At 39.5% G+C, this 24,338-nt stretch overlaps 1 protein-coding gene across 15 annotated transcripts in view; it reads left to right on the top strand.

Annotated features, from left to right (window-relative positions):
• Nucleotides 1–21,507, top strand: part of USP33 (ubiquitin specific peptidase 33) — a 63,866-nt gene extending 42,359 nt beyond the window's left edge. For 6 of the 15 annotated variants that reach the window (NM_001377431.1, NM_201624.3, NM_001377438.1 and 3 more), the window contains 7 exons: nt 1,626–1,752; nt 2,711–2,880; nt 4,213–4,294; nt 5,639–5,747; nt 16,023–16,125; nt 19,563–19,631; nt 20,020–21,507. In NM_001377431.1, the coding sequence (NP_001364360.1) occupies nt 1,626–1,752; nt 2,711–2,880; nt 4,213–4,294; nt 5,639–5,747; nt 16,023–16,125; nt 19,563–19,631; nt 20,020–20,177 (818 nt within the window). In that variant the 3' untranslated portion in view covers nt 20,178–21,507. Of the gene's footprint in view, nt 1–1,625; nt 1,753–2,710; nt 2,881–4,212; nt 4,295–5,638; nt 5,993–16,022; nt 16,126–19,562; nt 19,632–20,019 lie in introns of those variants that run through there. The other 9 variants (NM_001377436.1, NM_001377434.1, XM_047449731.1 and 6 more) reach the window with 3 other exon arrangements.
• Nucleotides 21,508–24,338: the final 2,831 nt, after the last annotated feature.

Below are 24,338 nucleotides of genomic sequence, written 5' to 3'. Positions count from 1 at the left end.
TTTGGAGACAGAGTCTCACTCTGTTGCCCAGGCTGGAGTGCAGTGGCGCGATCTTGGCTCACTGCAACCACCGCCTCCCAGGTTCACGCCATTCTCCTGCCTCAGCCTCCCAAGTAGCTGGGACTACAGGCGCCTGCCACCACGCCCAGCTAATTTTTTTGTATTTTTAGTGGAGACGGGGTTTCACCGTGTTAGCCAGGATGGTCTCGATCTCCTGACCTCGTGATCTGCCCGCCTCGGCCTCCCGAAGTGGTGGGATTACAGGTGTGAGCCACCATGCCTGGCCCTAACATGATTTTTATACTGGATTTTTTAAGATTATGTGTTCTAGCTGGGTGTGGTGGCTCATACCTGTAATCCCAGCACTGGGAGGCCAAGGCAGGTGGATCATCTGAAGTCAGGAGTTCGTGACCAGTCTGGCCGACATTGTGAAACCCCGTCTCTACTAAAAATACAAAAAATTAGCCAAGCATGATGGCAGGCGCCTGTAATCCCAGCTACTCGGGAGGCTGAGACAGGAGAATCGCTTGAACCTGGAAGGTGGAGGTTGCAGTGAGCTGAGATTGCACCATTGCACTCCAGCCTGGGCAACAAGAGCAAAACTCCATGTCAAAAAAAAAAAAAAGAAAAAAAAGAATATGTTTTCTAATAGCTGGGTGTTTGTGGGGGCGCAGTCAGGCTGGTGGGAAAAATTTTAGTTTTAGAAAATATACACAAACCCTTCTGGAGGGCTGGGAGTTTTTACATACAGTACTTGGCTGAAGGCAGCCTTGTCCCCTTAGTTAAGTAAATTAGATTAGAAAAGGAATGTGGGGAGTTTATCTCACTAGCTTGTTTACCCATGTGGTCCTAAGACTAACCTTTGATTTACCGGGTTCTTAATTGCTTTCTACTGGGGAGGTTTGCAATATCAATTACCCTCTAGTGGTGTTGACTCAAGGCTTTGTCAATTAATCTGTACTGAATAAATGCGAGTCTCACTGGCTCGTCGAGGCTGCTGTCTGCAACTGTTTACAGCACTGTTCTTGGAGTCTGTAAGTGGCCCAGATGCTTAGCCAGACTGGCAAAGCAGAATATCTGTGTCAGTGTACTTTATTCATCCGTCATTGGGTCAGGGTCTGTGGGACAGACCCCCGCAGGTGTTAATGACTCATGCCTGTAATCCCAGCACCTTTGGAGGCTGAGGCAGAAGGATCACTTGAGGCTCGGAGTTTGAGAACAGCCTGGACAACATAGCAAGACCCCATCTGTAAAAAAACAAAAATAAATTAGCTGGGTGTGGTGATGTGCACCTGTAGTTCCAATTACTCAGGAGGCTGAGGCAAGAGGATAGCTTGAGCCCAGAAATTTGAGGCTGCAGTGAGCTGTGATCCCTTCACTGAACGCCAGCTTGGGCAACAGAGCAAGACTGTGTCTATTAAAAAATAAAAAAATTTAAAAAATTACATGTTCTGTCGTCAGGTGATGAAGGAATGGTGGCAAGCGTGCAAACTGAAAAAAAAATACAAGCATAATTCTTCCTATATTCCAGCTACTGTGCTAGGCACTGGAAATATAAAAAGTTTATCCTCCTTTCTTCTGTTGTTTTTGTATTACTGTAATGATTTCTTTTCCCTCAAATTCAGGTGGACACTATATAGCCTACTGCCGAAACAATCTAAATAATCTCTGGTATGAATTTGATGATCAGAGTGTCACTGAAGTTTCAGAATCTACTGTACAAAATGCAGAAGCTTACGTTCTTTTCTATAGGTAATGGAAATAAGTGTAGATGCGAAAGGACATCTCTCACATTTTGGGCTTATCAGTGACTTCTAAGACATTCTAATGGATTGCTGAGTCAAGATTAGGAATTGTTTTCCTCCTATTTCATTACAGTAAAATACAGTGAAAGGCTGTATATGTAGAATGATTCTTTGTTCAGAAAATGCTAAATCATTTACTTGAAGAGCAAAGGGATATATTTTGTTTTAGAAAGATTAATTTTAGTGCCGGGCACAGTGGCTCAGGCCTGTAATCCCAGCACTTTGGGAGGCCAAGGCGGGTGGATCACGAGGTCAGGAGTTCAAGACCAGCCTGGCCAAGATGGTGAAACCCTGTCTCTACTAAAAATACAAAAATTAGTCAGGTGTGGTGGCAGGTGCCTGTAATCCCAGCTACTGGGGAGGCTGAGGCAGGAGAATCGCTTGAACCCGGCGGGTGGGGGTTGCAGTGAGCCTAGATTGCGCCACTGCACTCCAGCCTCGGCAACAGAGTGAGACGCCATCTGAAAAAAAAAGAAAAAGAAAGATTAGGTTTAATTTAAAAATTAGGCATTGATGGTCTGAATTAAGTACCAAATTTTCTCCCAAAGTAGCTAATAATGAAAGTATTACTATAAAAATATTTGTTTTTTTTTAGCATCTTATAAAAGAAGATGCTAGCTTCTGAAACAGAAGCAGATTAATTATTTAGCTTGATCTTATTAACAAACATTTGAATGCTTACTGTGTTCCAGTAGTTATGTGGATACCTGTAGGTAAGATACAGTTTCATCCCTATGAGTATATAATGTATTTGGTGGATAATACAAAGTATATTTCTCTTGAAATTCCCAAGACCTAATAAAGATAGTGTTAATATGTGTGTTAAGTCTAATAAGAAGAAAAATCCATCTACTAGTAATGTAGTAAAATGCATATTGAATTTAACTAATCATTGTCCTTAATAGGAAGAGCAGCGAAGAGGCACAAAAAGAGAGGAGAAGGATATCAAATTTATTGAACATAATGGAACCAAGCCTCCTTCAGTTTTATATTTCTCGACAGTGGCTTAATAAATTTAAGACCTTTGCCGAACCTGGCCCTATTTCAAATAATGACTTTCTTTGTATTCATGGAGGTAAGAACTCCTGTAATGCAAACCGGTAGTAGAAGTTTGCTGTAAAATAATTTGCAAATTAGGAGAGCCAAGAATTTTCCTCTCCCACTTATTTCCCATTTCCCCACCTGCATTCAAACTTAATGTGTTTTAATTCCATATGGTTTCAGAAATTCACCCTTCCTTTTTAATTGTAGGTAATCTCTAGCTTCTTTATTGAACATATATTTACTGAGTACATGCTTTCTAAACTTTTTGCTAGTGCCTAAGGACACTAAAAATCCTTTTTCTTCTGTGAAAGCTCTAATTTCATAGTAGAGTAAGATACATAAACAGCTGTTTACATTACAGTGAGCTCCTCTATTATACATCATTTTTCCTACCTGAGGCATTCCTGTGCTGGTGATTTTATCTATCGACTATATTGGTGGTTCTTAACCCCATTGTCTAAATGAATAGCTGGCTTTTTTCCCAAGTATGGAAATGTATCTGGGATTTAAGAAAAAAAAGCCTCATAATTAAATATAACTTTGGCCCTTGTGAGATTGGCTGTGTTAATGTTTATTTCTACAATAAATAGGACCTTTGTGTGATGCCAATTAAACTTCAAGGTTGAAGATGGGATATTCATGGTAATTATGTTTGTAGTGAAACCAGAAGGGATAGGGATACCTGTATTGGACATAGAAATTTTAAGGTGTATGTTCATCTTGAGGAAACACAATCACCAAAAATGCTTTATAATTACCGTTCTTGGGAGAGAGAGTGTAAGAATAATGATTGAGCTGGGTGCAGTGGCTCACACCTGTAATCTCATTGTCTCAGGAGGCTGAGGCAGGAGGACTCCTTGAGCCCTAGAGTTTGAGGTTGCAGTGAGCCATGGTCATGCTGCTGCACTCCAGCCTGGGTGACAGAGTGAGACCTTGACTCAAAAAAATGGCCAGACACAATGGCTCATGCCTCTAAGCTCAGCACTTTGGGAGGCCAAAGCAGGAGGATCACTTGAGGTCATGAGTTTGAGACCAGCCTGGGCAACATAATGAGAGCCTGTTTCTACAAAAAAAAAAAAAAAAAAAAGAAAAGTTAGCTGGGTGTGTTGAAGCATGCCTGTAGTCCCAGCTACTCAGGACGCTGGGGTGGGAGGATGCCTTGAGCCCAGGAATTTTGAGGCTGCTGTGAGCCATGATCATGCCACTGCACTCTCTGGACTGGGTGACAGAACAAGACCCTTCCACTTAAAAAAACAATGATGATTGATCTGTCATTTAGTTACTGTTAAAAAAAAAATGAGTTTAATGTTTGAAAGGAATATAATTAAAAGCATGAAACAGATATGTTTATATATTTTTTTAGGTGTTCCTCCAAGAAAAGCTGGTTATATTGAAGACCTGGTTTTGATGCTGCCTCAGAACATTTGGGATAACCTATATAGCAGGTTTGTTTTTTAAATCAGACCATACAGTGTTGTGAAAGTCGGTTAAACTGGTTAAAAGGGGTTTGGATTATTTCAGAGATGCTCCTTGTGCTATGTGTTTATTCTTTTCCCTTACTTATTCATTCTAAAGTGTGAGTAGGAAGACTTTGTAGCTACTGTGGCATAGTCTAGATAATTAATTTTAATTTTTTCTAATTATCTATCTGTGAAGGTATGCTGTGGTAATTTAAGTACCTTGTTTAAAATACTTTGCATATCCCCACACTAAAATTTTACATATGTATATACTCACACAATTGAGTATCTTACTCTTAAATTGTAAATTTTTTTTTCTTTTTTTTTGAGACAAGGTCTTGCTCCATCAACCAGGCTGGAGTGCAGTGGCACGATCTTGGCTTACTGCAGCGTCGACCTCCTAGGCTCCAGTGGTCCTCTCACTTCAGCCTGCCTAGTAGCTGGGATCACAGGCGTGCATCACCATGTCTGGCTAATTTTGGGGTGTTTTTTGTAGAGATGGGGTTTTGCCATGTTGCCTGGGCTGATCTTGAACTCCTGGGCTGATCTTGAACTCCTGGGCTCAAGCCATGTGGCTGCTTTGGCCTCCCAAAGTCCAAAGTATTGGGATTACAGGCATGCATCACTGGGCCTGGCCTTAACATCGTAAACTTTAAAATTTTAAGATGGAGTCTCGCTCTGTCGCCCAGTCGGGAGTGCAGTGGTGCAATCTCAGCTCACTGCAACCTCTGCCTCCCAGTTTCAAGCGATTTTGTGCCTCACCCTCCCAAGTACCTGGGATTACAGGCACACATCACCATGCCTGGCTAATGTTTATATTTTTAATAGAGACGGGGTTTCACCACATTGGCCAGGTTGGTCTCGCAACTCCTGACCTTTATTTTAAAACATTTTCCACCACAGTTTTCCTACTAATTATGTTTTCTTTAATTAAATATTAAAAATAATTCATACATTGAATGCTTCTTACTTGAGAGGCCAGGGGAGGCCTTCATCTGATGAAAACTTGACTATGACTGTGATGTGTAACTAAGATTTATATGTTGTATGATACTTTTTGAAACCACTTCTTTTAGTTTGTTGTTGGCTCTAACATTTTGGAGCAGAAATAAGGGAAAGTTGAAATATAGATAAAGCAGGTTAAGCAATAAACTGATAAAGTCACTGACCTTAATAAACATAATAACAAGTCCTTATATGATTTTTGATTTTTATATTACTTTGAGAATTTTATTAAGAGGATTTATTTTTACTGGGTATTTGGCCACTGACTTAAATGTTAGAAACAAACTTCCTAGAACATTAATTCTTAAATTTTTCATGCTTTAGGTATGGTGGAGGACCAGCTGTCAACCATCTGTACATTTGTCATACTTGCCAAATTGAGGCGGAGAAAATTGAAAAAAGAAGAAAAACTGAATTGGAAATTTTTATTCGGGTAAAAAAGTGATGCTTTTCAAATTGATCTAGGATAAAGATGAAGACCTGACAATTATCAGAGTTATATGATATTAATAAAATGATTAGATGAAAGAGTTGTAATAGATTTCAAGTGTTCTAGGTGCATAATGGTGAATGACCTCAGGCAGTTCACTACAGTTCTGTTGAGTTATGTTCTCCCTTTGTGTGTGTGTGTGTGTGTGTGTGTGTGTGTGTATGAGACAAAATCTTGCTCTGTCGCCCAGGCTGGAGTGCAGTGGTGCAATCTCGGCTCACAGCAACCTCTGCCTCCTAGGTTCAAGCAATTCTCCTGCCTCAGCTTCCCAAGTAGCTGGAACTACAGGCATGCCCCACCACGCTAGGCTAATTTTTGTATTTTTAGTAGAGACAGGGTTTTGCCATGTTGGCCATGCTGGTCTCGAACTCCTGACCTCATGTGATTTGCTGTCTTGGCCCCACAAAGTACTGGGATTATAGGCATGAGCCACTGCTCCTGGCCCCTTTGTGGGTTTTTGCTTTTATGGATTGACAATACTTTTTTTTTTTTTAATGTATTGGCACTGGCAGAAATCTTATTGAAATGGAAAATTACAGGTTTCCTTAAGTTAGTGTTGTCTGTAGTCTATCCAGACTGCATGTACTACTTTGATTCTTTTGTGAGATATAATATTCTTTTGTTTTTTTGAGGGACTCCTGGGCTTATAAATATACTCACTTTTCACAAACTGAGCATATTATGAGGTGTCCCTTAATTGTAAGCAACAGAAAGTGTGGTCATAAAATCAAAAGCATGAACAACCAGGTTTTATGGGCAAGGACTAGTACCCTTCCAATTATTGACGTAGCAAGAAGTCTCTGCAGTACTGTTGTCAGTAACATAACTCCAACTATTTAAGACAATTGAAAATTTGGATCACTTGAGAGACACGTTTATTCATAAATCTACTGAGACACTATTATGGGGAGGAGTAATACTGCAAGAAAAAAATTGGGATTCTTTTAGTAAAAGCAGTGGAGAAGATATTGAGCAGATCAAAATAAGATGTCCAGTATGTTTTGTATTATTCATTTCCTGCACATGTGTAGACACACACACACACCTGCTTTTCCTCATTGATTCAGGGCTTTTTTTGTGCCCTTGCCTAAAGTAAAGTAAATTTTACATAAAAAAGATGCAGGTATAGATTTATTTATTTTACATGGGCTTCATTTGCTTCTTGAATCTAAGGAAGCAAACTTTAGTTGAATATTAAAAATAGTTTTTTCCATCAATGCTTAAATAATGGCTAATGACTGTGTCTGTCAGGATTTGATTAATAGTAGCTATTCTAAGTATTTTGAATAGAATCAGAATGTAGGGAATGAGAGATGTACATTACTATTGAAAGGACTGGGCAGTGAAGGTCAAGAAGACCACTGCTGACTTTCAGGAAATCTAAAAGTGGAATAGGGTACCACATTGTGGGTGGGAGAGAAGCAGTGGCCAAGAATGGTGTTTATAACCACAGAGGGTAAAGAGAATTTCTGTATAGTGAGTGGCATGAGCCCAGTCAAGGGTGTTAGAGCCCAGGCAGGATAAGAAGGGATGCCCATGTTGGCCTGACATTGGTGGCTACAAGGGTACAGCATAGTGGTGGTAGTGGCAGTGAGCGATTGGTTCCATATGGGAAAATGATCAAGACATACGTGTAATGAGTACCAAGTTTCTCATTGTCAGATGAGGAAGTTTCAAATATGGAAAAGGAGAAAACTAAACTGTACCTTGTGTTGTTATTGGATTGGAGTTATGGGTATCTTTGTGAACTCATGATAATAGCTGAGTAAATATGGACGTGTGTGTGTGTGTGTGTGTGTGTGTGTGTATGTGTATGCATGTATAGAAACTTGATATTTCTTAACTCTCACTGAAAGTGCCTTGGATCAATGATTACTCCAGTAGGATTGATCATACCTAGCTCTCAGATATATATATGTCTATATGTTTATATAGATATCTATATCTATATATAGATTGATTACTCCAATCTATTGATTACTCCAGTAGGATTGATCATACCTAGCTGTCAGAGACATATATATATATAGATCTATCTAGATAGATCTATATGTAGCTTTATATAGAGAGAGAATATGTTCTATATTTACAGAATGTTAAAATTAAACATGTATATAAAATATAGATATATAGATATGTATCTATATATATCTATATATTTCTAAATTTTATTTTAAAAGACAGGGTCTCATTCTGTCACCAGGCTGGAATGCAGTGGCTGGTCATAGTTCACTGTAACCTTGAACTCCTAGGCTAAAGGGATCCTCCTGCCTCAGCATCCCGAGTAGCTAGGACTACAGATGCACACCACCATGTGTAGCTAATTTAAAAAATAAATTTTTTTGTAGAGACAGTGTCTTGCTGTCTTGCTCAGGCTGGTCTCTAATTCCTGGCCTCAAGTGATTTTCCTGCCTCTGCCTCCCAAAGCTCTGGGATTACAAGCATAAACTACTGTGCCTAGCCTCAAAATAAATTACAGTAACATATAACCTCATTAAATAAAATAGGAGATACTGCATCCATATTGGTATAAATAAATAAATGAATAAATGGAAAGGATGAGGATTGGAATGCTTATATCATTTCTACTTAACTCCCTCATTAAACACTTATTAATTACAAACGGAAAAGACTAACTTTCAGCAGAGAATCCTGACACCATCTCGATGAAGATAAAATGAGCATCATTAGAAATGAAACAAATCAATTAGTTGGGTGTGCTGGTGTGTAAGTTCCAGATATTCAGGAGGCGGAGGCAAGAGGATCACTTGAGCCCAGGAGTTTAAGACCAGCCTGGACAACATAGCGAGACTTTATATCTTAAAAAAAAGAAAGAAATGAAACAAAATCAAAATTATGTGCCAGAATAGTATACAATTAGAAGAACATGGCACCACTTTTTGGTACACAGGTGGATAACCTGAATCTCAAATGAGGAAAGTCACAAACCCTAATTGAGGGACATTTTATAAAACAACAAACTATTTGGAGGAAAGGAACATCTGTTCAGCAACTTATTCTGAAATCAAACTAGGTAAAGAAAATTTCTTTGTATACTTGGAGTTTTCCTATAAGTTTCAGATTGCTTCAGAGTTTTAAAAAATTCAAAACTGCATAAAGCCCTTGGAAACGATTTCAGCTGTCTGCCTATGGCAGTGCTCAGAAACCTGAGAAGCTACTGCTACTATCAGGACCCAAGTGAATTATTCAAGAGGACGCCCAGGAGACACAGGATGCTGCTGTTAAAGATGTTAGCTGCATACAATACTAAGTGAGATTGGATTCTTTGGAAGATGCTTAGAAGTGGTGGCAAAACCCTACTTATGCTATCTGTGGATGCCTCAAGCCTGCCCAAAGCTGCCACCAGAGGGGAAAATCATTTTTCTTTCTCTTATACCTTTCATATATTTCATATATCATGGTTATATATAGTCTGGTGTACTACTGGCAATGGATCCTGCAAAATGTAGGCTTGTCTTCACAGAAGGGAGTATATGAATACATGAAAATGATGTTCATTAACAGATAATAGAGCACAGCCTACCCCTTTGTCAACTCAGCACCCATATGCACTTACACAACCAAACAACAGTAGCAACAATATCATGCTTCTGCCTGATGTAATACAACTAGCTCCTGCACCAGTATGTGTTGCATTTGCCCTTTCCCCATATTTGGGAGACCCAAAGTCCCACCAGTCACTATACCTATTTCTAAATGATGTTCATAAATCTTTTAGTTCAGAGAGTATAGTCACACTTTTCCCTGTTATGGTCTGTAATCTAAAGAATGAACAGTAACGTTAACCACCACCAATATACCTTATAGTAGTCAAATGAAAGGAAAAAAATAAATTGGTAGTTATTTCAACATCTGGTAAATATTTATAAATATGTACGTGGAGCAAGGAAGAAATATGTATCTATAGCTAATCACTACCCATTTCTTATTTCCTCTGTTCTCAGCCAATACCCTGGCTGGTTGTGAATGTATTTACCTCATAAAATAACCCAGACCTTCATTTCTGAAGGGTTTGAACCCTTAGTAGTCTTGTCTGTATTAAATTTCTCTCTCTGAGTATGGAAATACTAAATGGTGCCTATAGTGGGTTGAATGGTGGTTCCCAAAAAGATATTTCCATACTCTAATCTCTGTAAATTAACCTTATTGGTGAATGTGACCTTACTTGAAAAAAGGGTATTTGCATATGTAAGGATTTTTGAGATGAGATCATCCTCAGTTGTCTGAATGGGCCCTAAATCCAGTAAGTGACCCTTCACAGAGATACACAGCAGAGAGATACGCAGAGAAGAGGTGAAAATCATGAAGATGGAGGCAGAGATTGGAATGATGCAGCTGCAAGGTAGAAGCTTTAGAAGCATGACAGGCAAGGAATGGAGTCTTCCCCTAGAGCCTCTGCAGGGTGAATGGTTCTCCTGACACTTTGATTTTGGAGTTCTGTTCTCTAAAACTGAGAGAATAAATACCTTTTCATTTACCAAATTTGTGGCATTTTGTTATAGCATCCCTCTGAAACTAACACAGTGGGTATAATCTGGTTTCCCAACATAATCCTCTTTGTTCCTACTATGTAGTAATGTAGTATTCATTTTATTTACCCTTTATAACTGGGGTCAGTCATTGCAGCCAGTACTGTAACCTCCTCTTTGCTTGCTGATTCAGTGACATGAGAAACTCAAAATGGCCAGGGGGCTGTCTCAACTTTTAGTCCAGTCAAATTGTTGTTGTGTTCACTTGGGATATAAATCTTCCACATTTAGTAGAGGCCGAAGTTGTGAGTATGGGAAGCAAAACTTGTGTGAATATGTCAGTAGGTAGTAGTAGATGAGCTCTCTTATTTCCTTTACCTGACTCCTAGGTTTATGTATTCCAGTTATGGGAAAAACCACCATATATTGGTTTCTAATTTGGAGCATATACTACATCGTGTAAGATAGTACCAAACCCACAAAGTGTTGCCACCCACACAAAAAAACTAAGTCCAGTAGGCCAACATCTTTTGCATGATAGCGCATGGTAAGATCAGTGAATTTTATGGAAGTAAGCCTGTTTCTTCATTTCTTTTGTGTAAAATGACTTCCATGGTCAGAGCCAATGTAGGATATTATGGTTACGAATGAGTCATTCACTAAGTCCAAGAATAGTGGTACGTGGTAAAACACTGGGTTAGGAAGGTAGACCTAAATCCAGTGTAAGTTATAGGTGTTTACAAATCACGTGTCATCAAAGGACTCATATCCAGACTATGTATATAAAGAACATACAACTCAGTAAGTAAACAAATACTCCAATTGGAAGATAGGCAAAAAATTTGGATAGGAATTACCCTTAAGAAGATAGGTCTAATAAGCACATAAAAAGTACACAGTGTCAGTCATTAGGGAATTCCTATGAATATCAATGATGAGCATGCAAAATGCTGTGTGCCACATGATAAACAGTTTGGTAATTTCTTGTAGGTTCAACTCCTAGTACATGACCCAGCAATCCCACTCTTAGGTATTCATTCCAGAGAAATGAAAATTTATGTTAACATAAAACATGTAAACAAATGTTTATGGCAGTATTGTTCATAATTGCCCAAAACTGGAAACAATTGAAATGTCTATCATCTGACAAATGGATAAACAAAATGTGTTATAGTTGTATAATAAAATGCTACTCAGCAGTAAAAAGATCATGGCGTACTGATCCATGAAGCAACATGGATGAATAGTAGAAACATTATGCCAAGTGTAAGACATACAAAAGACTATATAATGTCTAATTTCATTTATATGAAATTTCTAAAAAGGGAAAAAGTGTGGAGACAAACAGTGATTTCAAGGGCTGAGAGAAGGGGAATTGATTGCAAACTGGTGCAAGACAGCTTTTGTGGGTGTTGGAGGGCTCTAAGCTGGATTGTGGTGACAGTTGCACAACTATAAATTTACAGAAAACCATTAAAGTCCATACGAAGAGTGGGAGGATTACACCTTAATAAAATTTTTTTTTTTTTTTTAAAGCAAATCTGGGGCTGGGCAAGGTGGCTTATGCCTTGCTAGCACTTTGGGAGGCTGAGAATAGGGGATTGCTTGAGCCTAGGAATTGGAGATTACGGTGAGCTATGACCATGACCCTGCACTCCAGCCTAGGCAACAGAGCAAGACCCTGTCTTTAAAAATAAATAAAATTGGCTGGGCTCAGTGGCTCATGCCTGTAATCCCAGCACCTTGGGAGGCTGAGGCAGGCGGATCACTTGAGGTCAGGAGTTCAAGACCAGCCTGGCCAACATGGTGAAACCCCATCTCTACTAAAAATACAAAAATTAGCCAGGCATGGTGGCGGGTGCCTGTAATCCCAGCTACTAGGGAGGCCGAGGCAGGAGAATCGCTTGAATTGGGGAGGTGGAGATTGCAGTGAGCCGAGATCGCACCACTGCACTCCAGCCTGGATGAAAGAGTGAGATTCTGTCTCAAAAAAAAAAATAAAAAATAAAAAGTGCAAACCTATTATTATTCTATAATATTAGGGTTTTTTTTGTTTTATTCAGCCCCCCCCCTTTTTTTTTTAAACAAAGCATTTGTGTTAACAGAAATAACACTGGAATATAAAAATAGGTGCCCTTAGTGGATTGGAAGCTAAGTGAAGTTTCTGAAAAACCGAAAAAGCAGATAGGATCAGATCAAAGAAGCAAGCCAAGGGCCACAGGAAATGACTGTGTGGGCTTTAATTTTGGAAGTGACAGATACGGATGATGACCTTAGCATTCTGCCTGTTGCACTGTACCAGGCAGCAAGTATAAAGGTATCTGCCTGGGTAGAGCAGTGAGTGTAGACCATGTGAAGTATGATTGATATTCAGGGAGATACATAAGGATATTGTATCCTAAATAACAAAACAAAACCTCAATAGATGGGTTGATTGAATGGCAAAATAAATACTATTGGAGAGGAAATGAGTATGCTGAAAGATATAGCGGAAAGATTTCTTCTAAGGTGAAGCACAAAAAGATAAACAGAAGGAAGAAAAGTTTTGACATGTTGGATAGCTATAGGATCCATTGTTTTTCTATTATGTATTTTTTAAAAGAGAACAGAGTGAGAACTACATTTAGAGTAACCATTTAGATAAATTTTCCAGAACTAGAGAGAAACACATCCTTAAATTAATGAGGTAACTGTGCTTAACTAAATTTTAAAAAGCGCCTACCTAAACACATAGGAAGTAACTTCTTAATACCAAAGATAAAGTAAGTCCTGAAAGTTTTCAAACATGGTAGTGGTATGAATTTAATGGTTGTTAGAATCCAGCATCTGGCAGATTCAGTCTGATATGACATTTTAGAACTCTCAGTTCTCTAGGGATAAGTTGCACATCACAGAAAGCCCGAACTTTAATTCCATGCCTTGAGACAAATATGCCTTAATTTCTTTGTTAACCATCAGAGACTGCCACAGCATTTTCCATTTCATTGTTCCATTGAAGCAGCTACCTTGTGTCCCAGAAAGATCTTTGCCTTCAGAGAGCTTATATATGCATACACACACACATATATACTTTTTTTTTTTTTTTGAGACAAGTTGTTGCTCTTTTGCCCGGGCTGGAGCACGGTGGCATGATCACAGCTTTCTGCAGCCTCGATCTCCCACGCTCAAGAGATCCTCCACATCAGCCTCCTGATGAATAGCTGAGACTATAGGCGTGTGCCACCATACCCAGTTAATTTTGCAGCCTTGATCTCCCAGGCTCAAGAGATCCCCCACATCAGCCTCCTGATGAATAGCTGGGACTATAGGGATGTGCCACTGCACCCAGCTAATTTTTTGTGTATTTTTAGTAGAGATGGGGTTTTAACCATGTTGCCCAGGCTGGTCTTGAATTTTCTGGTCTCAAGTGAGCCACTGTGCCATGCCAGAGCTTATATTTAATAAATATGTTATATGTTATATTAAAAGGTGATGGGTACAATGGAAAAGGGAAACATTGAACAGAATTAGAGGCACCAAGATTACACTGGTGAGGGGGAGGAGTCAGGTTGGAGTTTTATATTTTATTTTACTTTTGAGATGGAGTCTTGCTTTTTTGTCCAGGCTAGAGTGCAGTGGCACGATATCGGCCCACTGCAACCTTCTCGTCCCGGGTTCAAGTGATTCTCCTGCCTCAGCCTCCCAAGTAGCTGGGATTACAGGCACCCACCACCATGCCTAGCTAATTTTTGTATTATTAGTAGAGATGAGGTTTCACCATGTTGGCCAGACTGGTCTCGAACTCCTGACCTCAGGTGATCTGCCTTGGCCTTCCAAAGTGCTGGGATTACAGGCGTGAGCCACTGCGCCTGGCCCAGGTTGGAGTTTTAAACAGGGTGGTCAAGATAGGCCTCATTGAGAAGATGACATTTAAGCAAAGACTTAAAGGAGGTAAGGGAGATAGTCATTCAGACACCTGCAAAAAGAAGGGTTAGTGCAAAAGGCTTGTGAGGCAGAGGTGTATTTGTTTGGTTCTGGCAATAACAAAGTGGCCAGTATGATCACCAGTGAAAAATGAGGAAGAAAGAAGATGAGGTCAGATTATGGGGTGAGATCATGGAGGTACTTCTGGGCTATTTTTATAAGGGTATCTGTGAATAATTACAGGGTTTTGATTAATTTGGTTAGAGGAATTATATAATCTGAACTTGGTTGTCTTTGTCCACAGGTAGTGTGTTCCATGGATTGAATTGCCCATCATGAGATGGGCAATTACTTACACACTACTACACACTACTTACACACTACTTACACACTACTACAATTAGATTAATTCCAAATACTCTTAATTTTCCCGAGCCTCTTTTGCTTGTGCTTCTCTTTCTATATCAGTTTTTCTCTCACTTGGGTTTTTTTTTAATTGCAAGTGGTAGAAGCCAGACTGGCTAACCTGGCAAAAAAGAAATTTACTAAGAATAAAAATTGAAAAACCAGACCTCCAAAAGTTTGAGAACTAAGGTAGCCCTGAGTATCTACCTGAATTGACATTGGAATGATTCCATTCTAACCATTAGGTCACTTCTCTGAAGATTTTTATTTCTGACAGAGTTGTGTATAGTTTGAGTCATATACCCATTCCTTAGGCCTGAGGGCTGGAAGAGGGAATTGGTCTTCAGGGACTGTCCCACCACTTATTAGAATTTACTTATACATTTATGTATATTGCTTGTGAAATGACATGTACAAGATCATTCATTCATTGCAGCATGGTAATAGCAAGTTGTCTACCAGTATCTTAAGTAAACAAAAAGTATAGACTGTGGATATAGTATGTGTACATAAAGTTTACACATTAGATTTTTAATAAATATGTGGCGTATTTATTGTTTTGAAGACTTTGTCTTGACCATCTTCATTTACCCAGTCTTTATGCCCCTTTTATGTATACTTGTTAAATTTTGAGACAGAACCTAGAATTGTTTATTCATAGATGCTACCACGTATTCTAGTACTAAGTTAGCATACATCTTACTGTACCACTGGTTTTTTTTTTTTTTTTTTTTTTTTTTTTTTTTTTTTGAGACAGGGTCTTGTTCTGTCACCCAGGCTGGAGTACAGTGGCACAATCACGGCTCACTGTAGTCTCAACCTTCTGGGCTCAAGTAATCCTCCTACCTCAGCTTCCCCGAATAGCTGGGACTACAGGTGCAAATCACCTCACACAGCTAATTAAAAAAATTTTTTGTGTGTGTAGGCCGAGTGTGGTGGCTCACATCTGTAATCCCAGCACTTTGGGAGCCCAAGGCAGGTATCACTTGAGGTCAGGAGTTCAAGACCAGCCTGGCCAACATGGCAAAACCTCATTTCTACTAAAAATACAAAAATTAGCCAGGTGCGGTGGCAGGCACCTGTAATCCTAGCTACCCGGGAGGCTGAGGCTGGAGAATCACTTGAACTTGGGAGGCGGAGGTTACAGTGAGCCCAGATCGTGCCATTGCACTCCAGCCTGGGCAACAACAGCAAAACTCTATCTCAAAAATAAATAAATAAAAATAAAAAATAATGTTTTTTTTGTAGAGATGTTCTCACGATGTTGCCCAGACTGGTTTGGAACTCCTGGGTTCAAGGACTCCTCCTGCCTCAGCCTCCCAAAGTGCTGAGTTATCAAACACTGAAGTGGAATGATGGTATTGTTTTGCCATAAAGCAAGTTTTAGATATTAGATGACTGTTTTTTTTCCCCCTTGTAGCTTAACAGAGCGTTCCAAAAAGAGGACTCTCCAGCTACTTTTTATTGCATCAGTATGCAGTGGTTTAGAGAATGGGAAAGTTTTGTGAAGGGTAAAGATGGAGGTAAGTGGTTGACTGAAAAATTTTTTTTTGGTAAATTATTTGTTTTTTTGTTTGACAAGTATTTCTTGAATATCTGTGTGCACTTGGGATTACACTATTGAACAGAAGAGAAAAAGATCCTGTCCTCAGGGATCTTACGTTCTAGTTTATATTCTGTTGGTTGTAAATTTTGTTAAACTTATTTTATGAATTATAGCAGGAATAAGAGGACTGAACAAAGTAAATCTGTGATCTTAATGTTGAAAAAATTTTAGAAATCTTTATAAGGAATAAGAGGTTGCTTAAAGTATGGTTTATTCAATACAGTGGACTTTTAAAGTAAAATTGTATGACAATATTTAATAATATGAAAATAAGATATTCTGATATGTGCCAGGCACGGTGGCTCACGCCCATAATCCCAAAAGTTTGGGAGGCTGACGTGGGTGGATCACCTGACGTCAGGAGTTCAAGACCAGCCTGAAACATAGTGAAACCCTGTCTCTACTAAAAATACAAAAATTAGCTGGGTGTGGTGGCAGTCACCTGTAATCCCAGCTACTCAGGAGGCTGAGGCAGGAGAATTGCTTGAATCCACGAGGCGGAGGCTGCAGTGAACTGAGATCATGCCACTGTACTCCAGCCTGGGTGACAGAGCAAGACTTTGTCTTTAAAAAAAAAAAAAAAAAAAAGATTCTGATATGTGAAAAAGGCTGCAACAATATGCCTAGTTAAAGCTTTTTGTATTTATGTATTTACTTTTTAAAATTTTAAATTAATAGAGACAAGGTCTTAACCCTGTTGCCCAGGTTTAAGTACAGCAGCATGATTATGGCTCACTGCAGCCCTGAACTCTCAGCCCATGCGATCCTCCTACCTCCATCTCCTGAGTAGTTGGGACTACAGGCATGTACTACCACACTTGGCTAATTTAAAAATTATTTTTTACAATTATTTGTAGAGACATGGTCTCACAGTGTTGCCCAGGAACTCCTGGGCTCAAGCAGTGCACCAACCTTGGCCTCCCAAAGTGCTGAATTACTGAGTTCTCTCTGTATTGTCCAGGCTGGCCTCAAACTCCTGGGCTCCAGCGATCCTCTTGCTTCAGCCTCCTGAGTAGCTGGGACTATAGGTGCACACCACCATATCTGGCTTTTCTACACCTTTAAAAAAATTTATTTTTATTTTGTAAGTTCCAGCATACATGTGCAGGATGTGCAGGTTTGTTACATAGGTAAACATGTGCCATGGCGATTTGCTCCACCTATCAACCCATTACCTAGGTATCAAGCCCAGCATGCATTAGCTGTTTTTCCTGTTGTTCTCCCACCCCTCATCCCTCAACCCCCACCAACAGGCCCTAGTGTGTGTTCTCCTCCCTGTGTCCTTGTGTTCTTGTTGTTCAGCCCCCACTTATAAGTGAGAACATGCAGTGTTTGGTTTTCTGTTCTTGCATTAGTTTGCTGAGGATAATGGCTTCCAGCTCCATCCATGTCCCTGCATAGGACATGATCTCTTTCCTTTTTATGGCTGCGTAGTATTCCATAGTGTATATTTACCACATTTTCTTTATCCAGTCTATCATAGATGGGCATTTGGGTTGATTCCTTATCTTTGCTATTGTGAATAGTGCTGCCATGAACATATGTGTGCATGTATCTTTATAATAGAATGAATTGTGTTCTTTTGGATATATACCCAGTAATGGGATTGCTGGGTCAAATGGTATTTCTGGTTCTAGGTCTTTGAGGAATTGCCACACTGTCTTCCACAATGGTTGAACTAATTTACATTCCCACCAACAGTGTAAAAGTGTTCCCATTTCTCCACAGCCTCGCCAGCATCTCTTGTTTCTTGACTCTCTCTTTTTTTTGAAAAAGAGGCTCACTTTGTCACTCAGGCTGGAGTGGAGTGGCGTGATCTCAGCTCATTGCAACCTCCTCCTGGGTTCAGACGATTGTCCTGCCTCAGCGTCCTGAGTAGCTGGGATTACAGGTGCCGCTGTCATGCCTGGCTAATTTTTCTATTTTTAGTAGAGATGGGGTTTCACCATGTTAGCCAGGTTGGTCTCAAACTCCTGATCTCAAGTGAGCCACCTGCCTCGGCCTCCCAAAGTGGTGGGATTACAGGCATAAGCCACTGGGCCCAGCCTGTTTCTTGACTTTTTAATAACTGGCATTCTGACTGATGTGACATGGTATCTCATTGTGGTTTTGATTTGTGTTTCTCTAATGATCAGTGATGTTGATCTTTTTTTCATGTTTTTTTGGCCACATAAATGTCTTCTTTTGAGAAGTGTTCATGTTCTTTGTCCACTTTCTAATTGGGTTTTTTTAATTGTAAATTTGTTTAAGTTGCTTTTACAACTTTTGATGATGACCATGCGGTTCACTTTTGCCTTAAATTTTAAAAAGAATGTATTTAAACGGTTTCTTTTATAATGCTTTTATTGTTCTTAATGTTACTTTGATAATCTGAAGCAAATTAATTGTATAATTTCTTTCAAATTACAAAGGAATTGCTATTTTATAGCATTAGTGGTACATTTTGACTTGTAATCCCCAAATGGAGAGTTAAAAAATAATTTCTGGGCCGGGCGTGGTGGCTCATGCCTGTCATCCCAGCACTTTGGGAGGCCGAGGGGGGTGGATCACGAGGTCAGGAGATCAAGACCATCCTGGCTAACACGGTGAAACCCCATCTCTACTAAAAATACAAAAAATTAGCTGGGCGTGGTGGTGGGTGCCTGTAGTCCCAGCTACTCGGGAGGCTGAGGCAGGAGAATGGCATGAACCTGGGAGGCGGAGCTTGCAGTGAGCCGAGATGATGCCACTGCACTCCAGCCCTTGGCAACAGAGCGAGACTCCGTCTCAAAAAAAAAAAAAAAAACAAAACATTTCTGTTAAACTGTGATGGTTGTGAACGAGCCTCTCTTACCTTCTTTCCTGGTTCTGTTTTGGGGGAACTAAGAACTAAAAACGAAGAAGCTCAGGAGAAGACATTAAGAATTAACCATAGGCCAGGTGTAGTGGCTCACGCCTGTAATCCCAGCACTTTGGGAGGCTGAGGTGGGTAGATCGTGAGGTCAGGAGTTCGAGACCAGCCTGACCAACATGGTGAAACTCCCATCTCTACTAAAAAAAAAAAAAAAAGCAAAAATTAGCCGGGCGTGGTGGTGTGTGCCTGTATTCCCAGCTACTCAGGAGGCTGAGGCAGGAGAATCACTTGAACCCAAGGCGGAGGTTGCAGTGAGCTGTGATGGTGCCACTGCACTCCAGCCTGGGCAACAGAGCGAGACTCCATCTCAAAAAAAAAAAAAAAGAATTAACTATAATAATTTGCCTGAGAAATAACCAGTCTGATAATGTAGTTATAGGTCACAATTTTGTCAAGCACAAAATTATGCAATTTTTTGTTACATTTCTTTGAAAAATACATTTTGATATTTTTTCCTTTAGATCCTCCAGGTCCTATTGACAATACTAAGATTGCAGTCACTAAATGTGGTAATGTGATGCTTAGGCAAGGTAAGTTTGACTCGTATTTAAGCTTTTACTTGTGAGTGATTTGTCACTGTTAGAAATATGTTATCATTAGTCATCTATAGTACTTTTTTATTCAACTGAAGAATGTAATCCATACATTAACTAGGGCAAGTAATGAAAAGCAGCCACTTTTTTTTTATCTGAGGAAAGGTCTTAAGGCTGTTGTTAAGAGCAAAGCAAAAGCATCTCTGACTTTTTAAGACAAGCCATATGTTTCAGCTTATAACAATATGGGCTGGTAGTCTGCAGATTCATGTTCCAGAAGTTCTCAATTATCCCGAGAAGATTCATGCTGGGGGGTACATTATGAACGCTTTTGCAATATGAATATATAGGTTTGTAAACATTATTTCTTCTACGTAATTTTAAGGAGCAGATTCTGGCCAGATTTCTGAAGAAACATGGAATTTTCTGCAGTCTATTTATGGTGGAGGGCCTGAAGTTATCCTGCGACCTCCGGTTGTTCATGTTGATCCAGATATACTTCAAGCAGAAGAAAAAATTGAAGTAGAAACTCGGTCTTTGTAATTTTTAGGATGTAGAGAGTTCTAATGAGGAATCATTTTCATGTGCCCTGACATGTACACATGCGAAAACATTCCTAAAAGCGTGTTTATTTGCTTTATTTTTTTTCATCATTTATCCCATTTATTTCTTCTTAGTGGGCATTATGGAAGAATATATTAAAATGTGTAATATACCACAGGTTGGTATATTTAGTTTTAAATACTTACCATAAAGTCTTTCAGTGTAATTTTTTTTTGAGACAGAGTCTTGCTTTGTCACCCAGGCTGGAGTGCTGTGGTGTTACCTCAGCTCACTGCAGCCTCCACCTCCTGGGTTCAAGCGATTCTCCTGCCTCAGCCTCTCGAGTAGCTGGGATTACAGGCACCTGCCACCATGCCCGGCTAATTTTTGTATTTTAGTAGAGATGGGGTTTCACCATGTTGGCCAGGCTAGTCTCAAACTCCTGACCTCAGGTGATCCACCCACCTCGGCCTCCCAAAGTGCTGGGATTACAGGTGTGAGCCACAGCGCCTGGCCCAGTGTAATATTTTTGAAAGAGGAGGGACAATTGTGAAATCAGTAGGTTATCTTTAATCTTTACACTACATGCAGATCCATAGTATCCTTTGTAGTGTTGTAAATACTTTTGCTTTGAAAACTTTTTCATTGTCCTAAATCACCCTGACTCTGACCAGTCTTTCAGTTCTCCAAAAGCCCAATTTAATTGTATAGTTTTGTCATGGCTTCATATAATAAAGAGCCTATTTTAAGTTGAAAGTAGTAGTCAGAAAATTGTTAATTTCCTAAAGCTCAGGAAACTAGGGTGTCACTTTTTTTGCACTGCAGCATATACACTAACTAGCTTATTAAAATTTACAAAATGTCTTTTTGAATGTATCAAGGATATATTTAGTTTGAGTGGAATTTGTCAGCAGATATCAGTAACTTATTGCCGCTTATATTGTACAATGTTAAACTTCAATTCCTGTAACCTGGTTAGTATTAATGTCAGTGACTAAAAAACTTAGAGTTAGTTTTAGGGCACTTTTTATTTTGAGAGCATGAAGTGTGGAATGTGTCACTACGATTGTTGATAAAGCTGAGGCCACTTGCAACTTGATTTTTTAAATGAAATAGATAAAGTCTTTTTGAATAATATAGTATGCACTGCTATTTGCTTGATTATGTAATGTCAAAAGTTTAACTATATTCCAAGTACAAAAACATACTGGATTACATTGAGGATGTTGAATAGCATTCATGATGGCTTTGTTTTGGTTTGGGGCAGCTGTCACCAGCTAAAGCAATGTTGTTAAAATTAGCTCAATAAAAATGTCTTTAAAATGTAAAACTTGAATGTTGAATTTATTTGATAGATGTTAAAGGTAAAAGGTGCAAAGTTTGTTAATATTAATACCTTCTTGCTGTTCCTATTTTATTTTATTTATCTATTCTTTTGAGACAGAGTCTCACCCTTTCCCAGGCTGGAATGCAGTGTCACAGTCTTGGCTCACTGCAACCTCCGCCTCCCAGGTTCAAGTGATTCTCCTGCCTCAGCCTCCCAAGTAGCTGGGATTACAGGTATGAGCCACCACACCCAGCTAATTTTTGTATTTTTAGTAGAGATGGGGTTTCACCATGTTGGCTGGGCTAGTTTCAAACTCCTGACCTCAGGTGATCCACCTGCCTTGGCTTCCGAAAATGTTGAGATTACAGGTGTGAGCCACTGTGCCCAGCCAGTTTATTTTAAAATTTTTATTTATTTTGAGACTGGGTTATGAGACTGGCTAATTTTTATCTCTTTTTTTGGTAGAGATGGGGTTTTGCTATTTTGCTCAGGCTGGTTTCAAACTCCTGGGCTGAAGTGATCCAGCCACCTCGGCCTCCCAAAAAGCTGGGGTTATAGGTGTGAATCACTGCACCCGGCCTCTTGTTATTTCTTAATCAGAAGTATGCAAACAAGTCATTCAGTCTAGTAAAGTTGGTTTTTATTTATTATTTTATTTTTTTTTTAGACAGGGTCTCTCGAGCTCTGTCACCCAGACTGGAGTGCCTGGCGTTGAATACAGCTCACTGCAGTCTCCATCTCCTGGGATCAAGCGATCCTCCCACCTCAGCCTCCTGAGTACCTGAGACCACAGGTGTGCACCACCACACCTGGATAATTTGTTTTATTTTTTGTAAAGTCTGACTTTATTGCTTGGGCTGGTAATCAGTGTAGTAAAATTTTGATGTTTAATGAAATGAATTTTAATAAGCAGCCATTTAAGATCTATTTGAAGTTTTAAAAAATATATAGTAAAATATGATTCTACTATAGTAAAATATGATCTTCCTCAAGGTCTGAATGTTACTGATTTTTTGTGAATCACCAGAATTTAGTGTATTGTCTAGTATTTAGTGGTTAGTCAAAAAAGATTTGATTTTAATGATTGTTATTTATTGAAACTTAGAATGTTTCAGTCATTTTACTAAAGTTATTTCCTTATATTTAATCCTCCTAACAACTCTATGATATAGGTTAAATGGTTTGCCCAAAGTCATACAGCAAAGAAGTGGCAGATACAGGACTCCAACTCATGGCTTTATATAATAAAGAGCCTATTTTAAATTGAGACTAGTAGTCAGAAAATTATTTACCATAATGTAATCCCCAATGAATTCCTTTGAAACTGGTTGTGGTATCAGTCATATCAGTAGTGTCTGTTATTGGGATATATAATAAGATAAAGATACTGGTCCCTAAGAGCTTATATATATATATATATATATATATTTTTTTTTAATAGTTTTTTCGAGACAGGGTCTCACTCTGTCGCTCAGGCTGGAGTGCAGTGGTGCAATCTCAGCTCACATGCGACCTCGACCTCCTGGGCTCAAGCAATTCTCCCACCTCAGCATCCTGAGTAGCTGGAACTACAAGAATATGCCACCACACCCAGCTAATTCTTGTATTTTTTGTAGAGGCAGCATTTTGCCATGTCACCCAGGCTGGTTTCGATCTCCTGAACTCAAGCAATCCACCCGCCTTGGCCTCCCAAAGTGTTGGGATTACAGGCGTGAACCACCATGACCGGCCAATTTTTTTTACATTATAATTGTCAAAATACATAATATGTTCAGTAAAGGTCTAGCAATACCATAGACTCATAGCTAAAAATTGATCTATGTGTTGACAGATGTGGGATAAAATAAATAGTTTCTCTAAGGATGATTTTCCTGGAAATAAGCTGAGAATTAGGAAAATTGCAATCAAAGGCTAGTGAGAGCCTATATGTGTTAAGAGTCTATTGATTTATAGGCCAGGTGTGGTGGCTCATGCCTGTAATCCCAGCAGTTTGGGAGGCCAAGGTGGGTGGATCACTTGAGGTCAGGAGTTTGAGACCAGCCTGACCAACATGGTGAAACCCCATCTCTACTAAAAATACAAAATTAGCTGGCGTGGTGGCATGCGCCTGTAATCCCAGCTACTTGGGAGGCTGAGGCAGGAGAATTGCTTGAACCCGGGAGGCAGAGGTTGCAGTGAGCCAAGATCGTGCCACTGCACTCCAGCCTGGGCAACAAGAGCAAAACTCCATCTAAAAAAAAAAAGAAAAAAGAGTCTTGATTTATAATATGAAGGTGATTACTTTTGAGGCCCTGAAGTCCATTTGTTTAAATTCAAGTCCTAGTAGCTATATTAACTATGATTTGGAACAATATTTAAAGTTCTCTGATTTCCAGTTTTCTTCATTTGCTAAATGAGAATGTTGTAGTTTGGGCTTTCCAGGAAGCAGACACTGAGATAGTGTTAATGCATGCATATGATTTGTTGGGGAATAACACAGATGAAAGAAATGAGAGAAACAGGATTGAGCAGGAGGAGTAACCAGAATGATGCAGACCTGACAAATTCTCTGCCAGGTCTCCATAAGGCAATATGGAGCTAAGATTACCCATTGGAGGAGCCCTGCATTGGGCAGAAATGACTAGGTCCTTGTACTGTCACTAGGCCTTGTTCTGTCACTGACTAGTGGCTACCTGGAAAGGAGAATACACTCAGCTTGACCCTGATGGAGCTAACAGAGGTTGTTACCCAACCCTCTTCCTCTCAGCTGCGCAGCAAGTGCTTTCTGGAAGAGGGGTCTGAACAGCAATCTTCATGGCTGCCACACTTAATCATAGGATTATGATAATTATGTG

This window comes from Homo sapiens, chromosome 1 (assembly GCF_000001405.40).
Source record: "Homo sapiens chromosome 1, GRCh38.p14 Primary Assembly".
Classification (NCBI taxonomy): domain Eukaryota; kingdom Metazoa; phylum Chordata; class Mammalia; order Primates; family Hominidae; genus Homo; species Homo sapiens.
The sequence above is the reverse complement of the archived record's forward strand: the minus strand, read 5'-3'. Positions and strand labels throughout refer to the sequence as shown.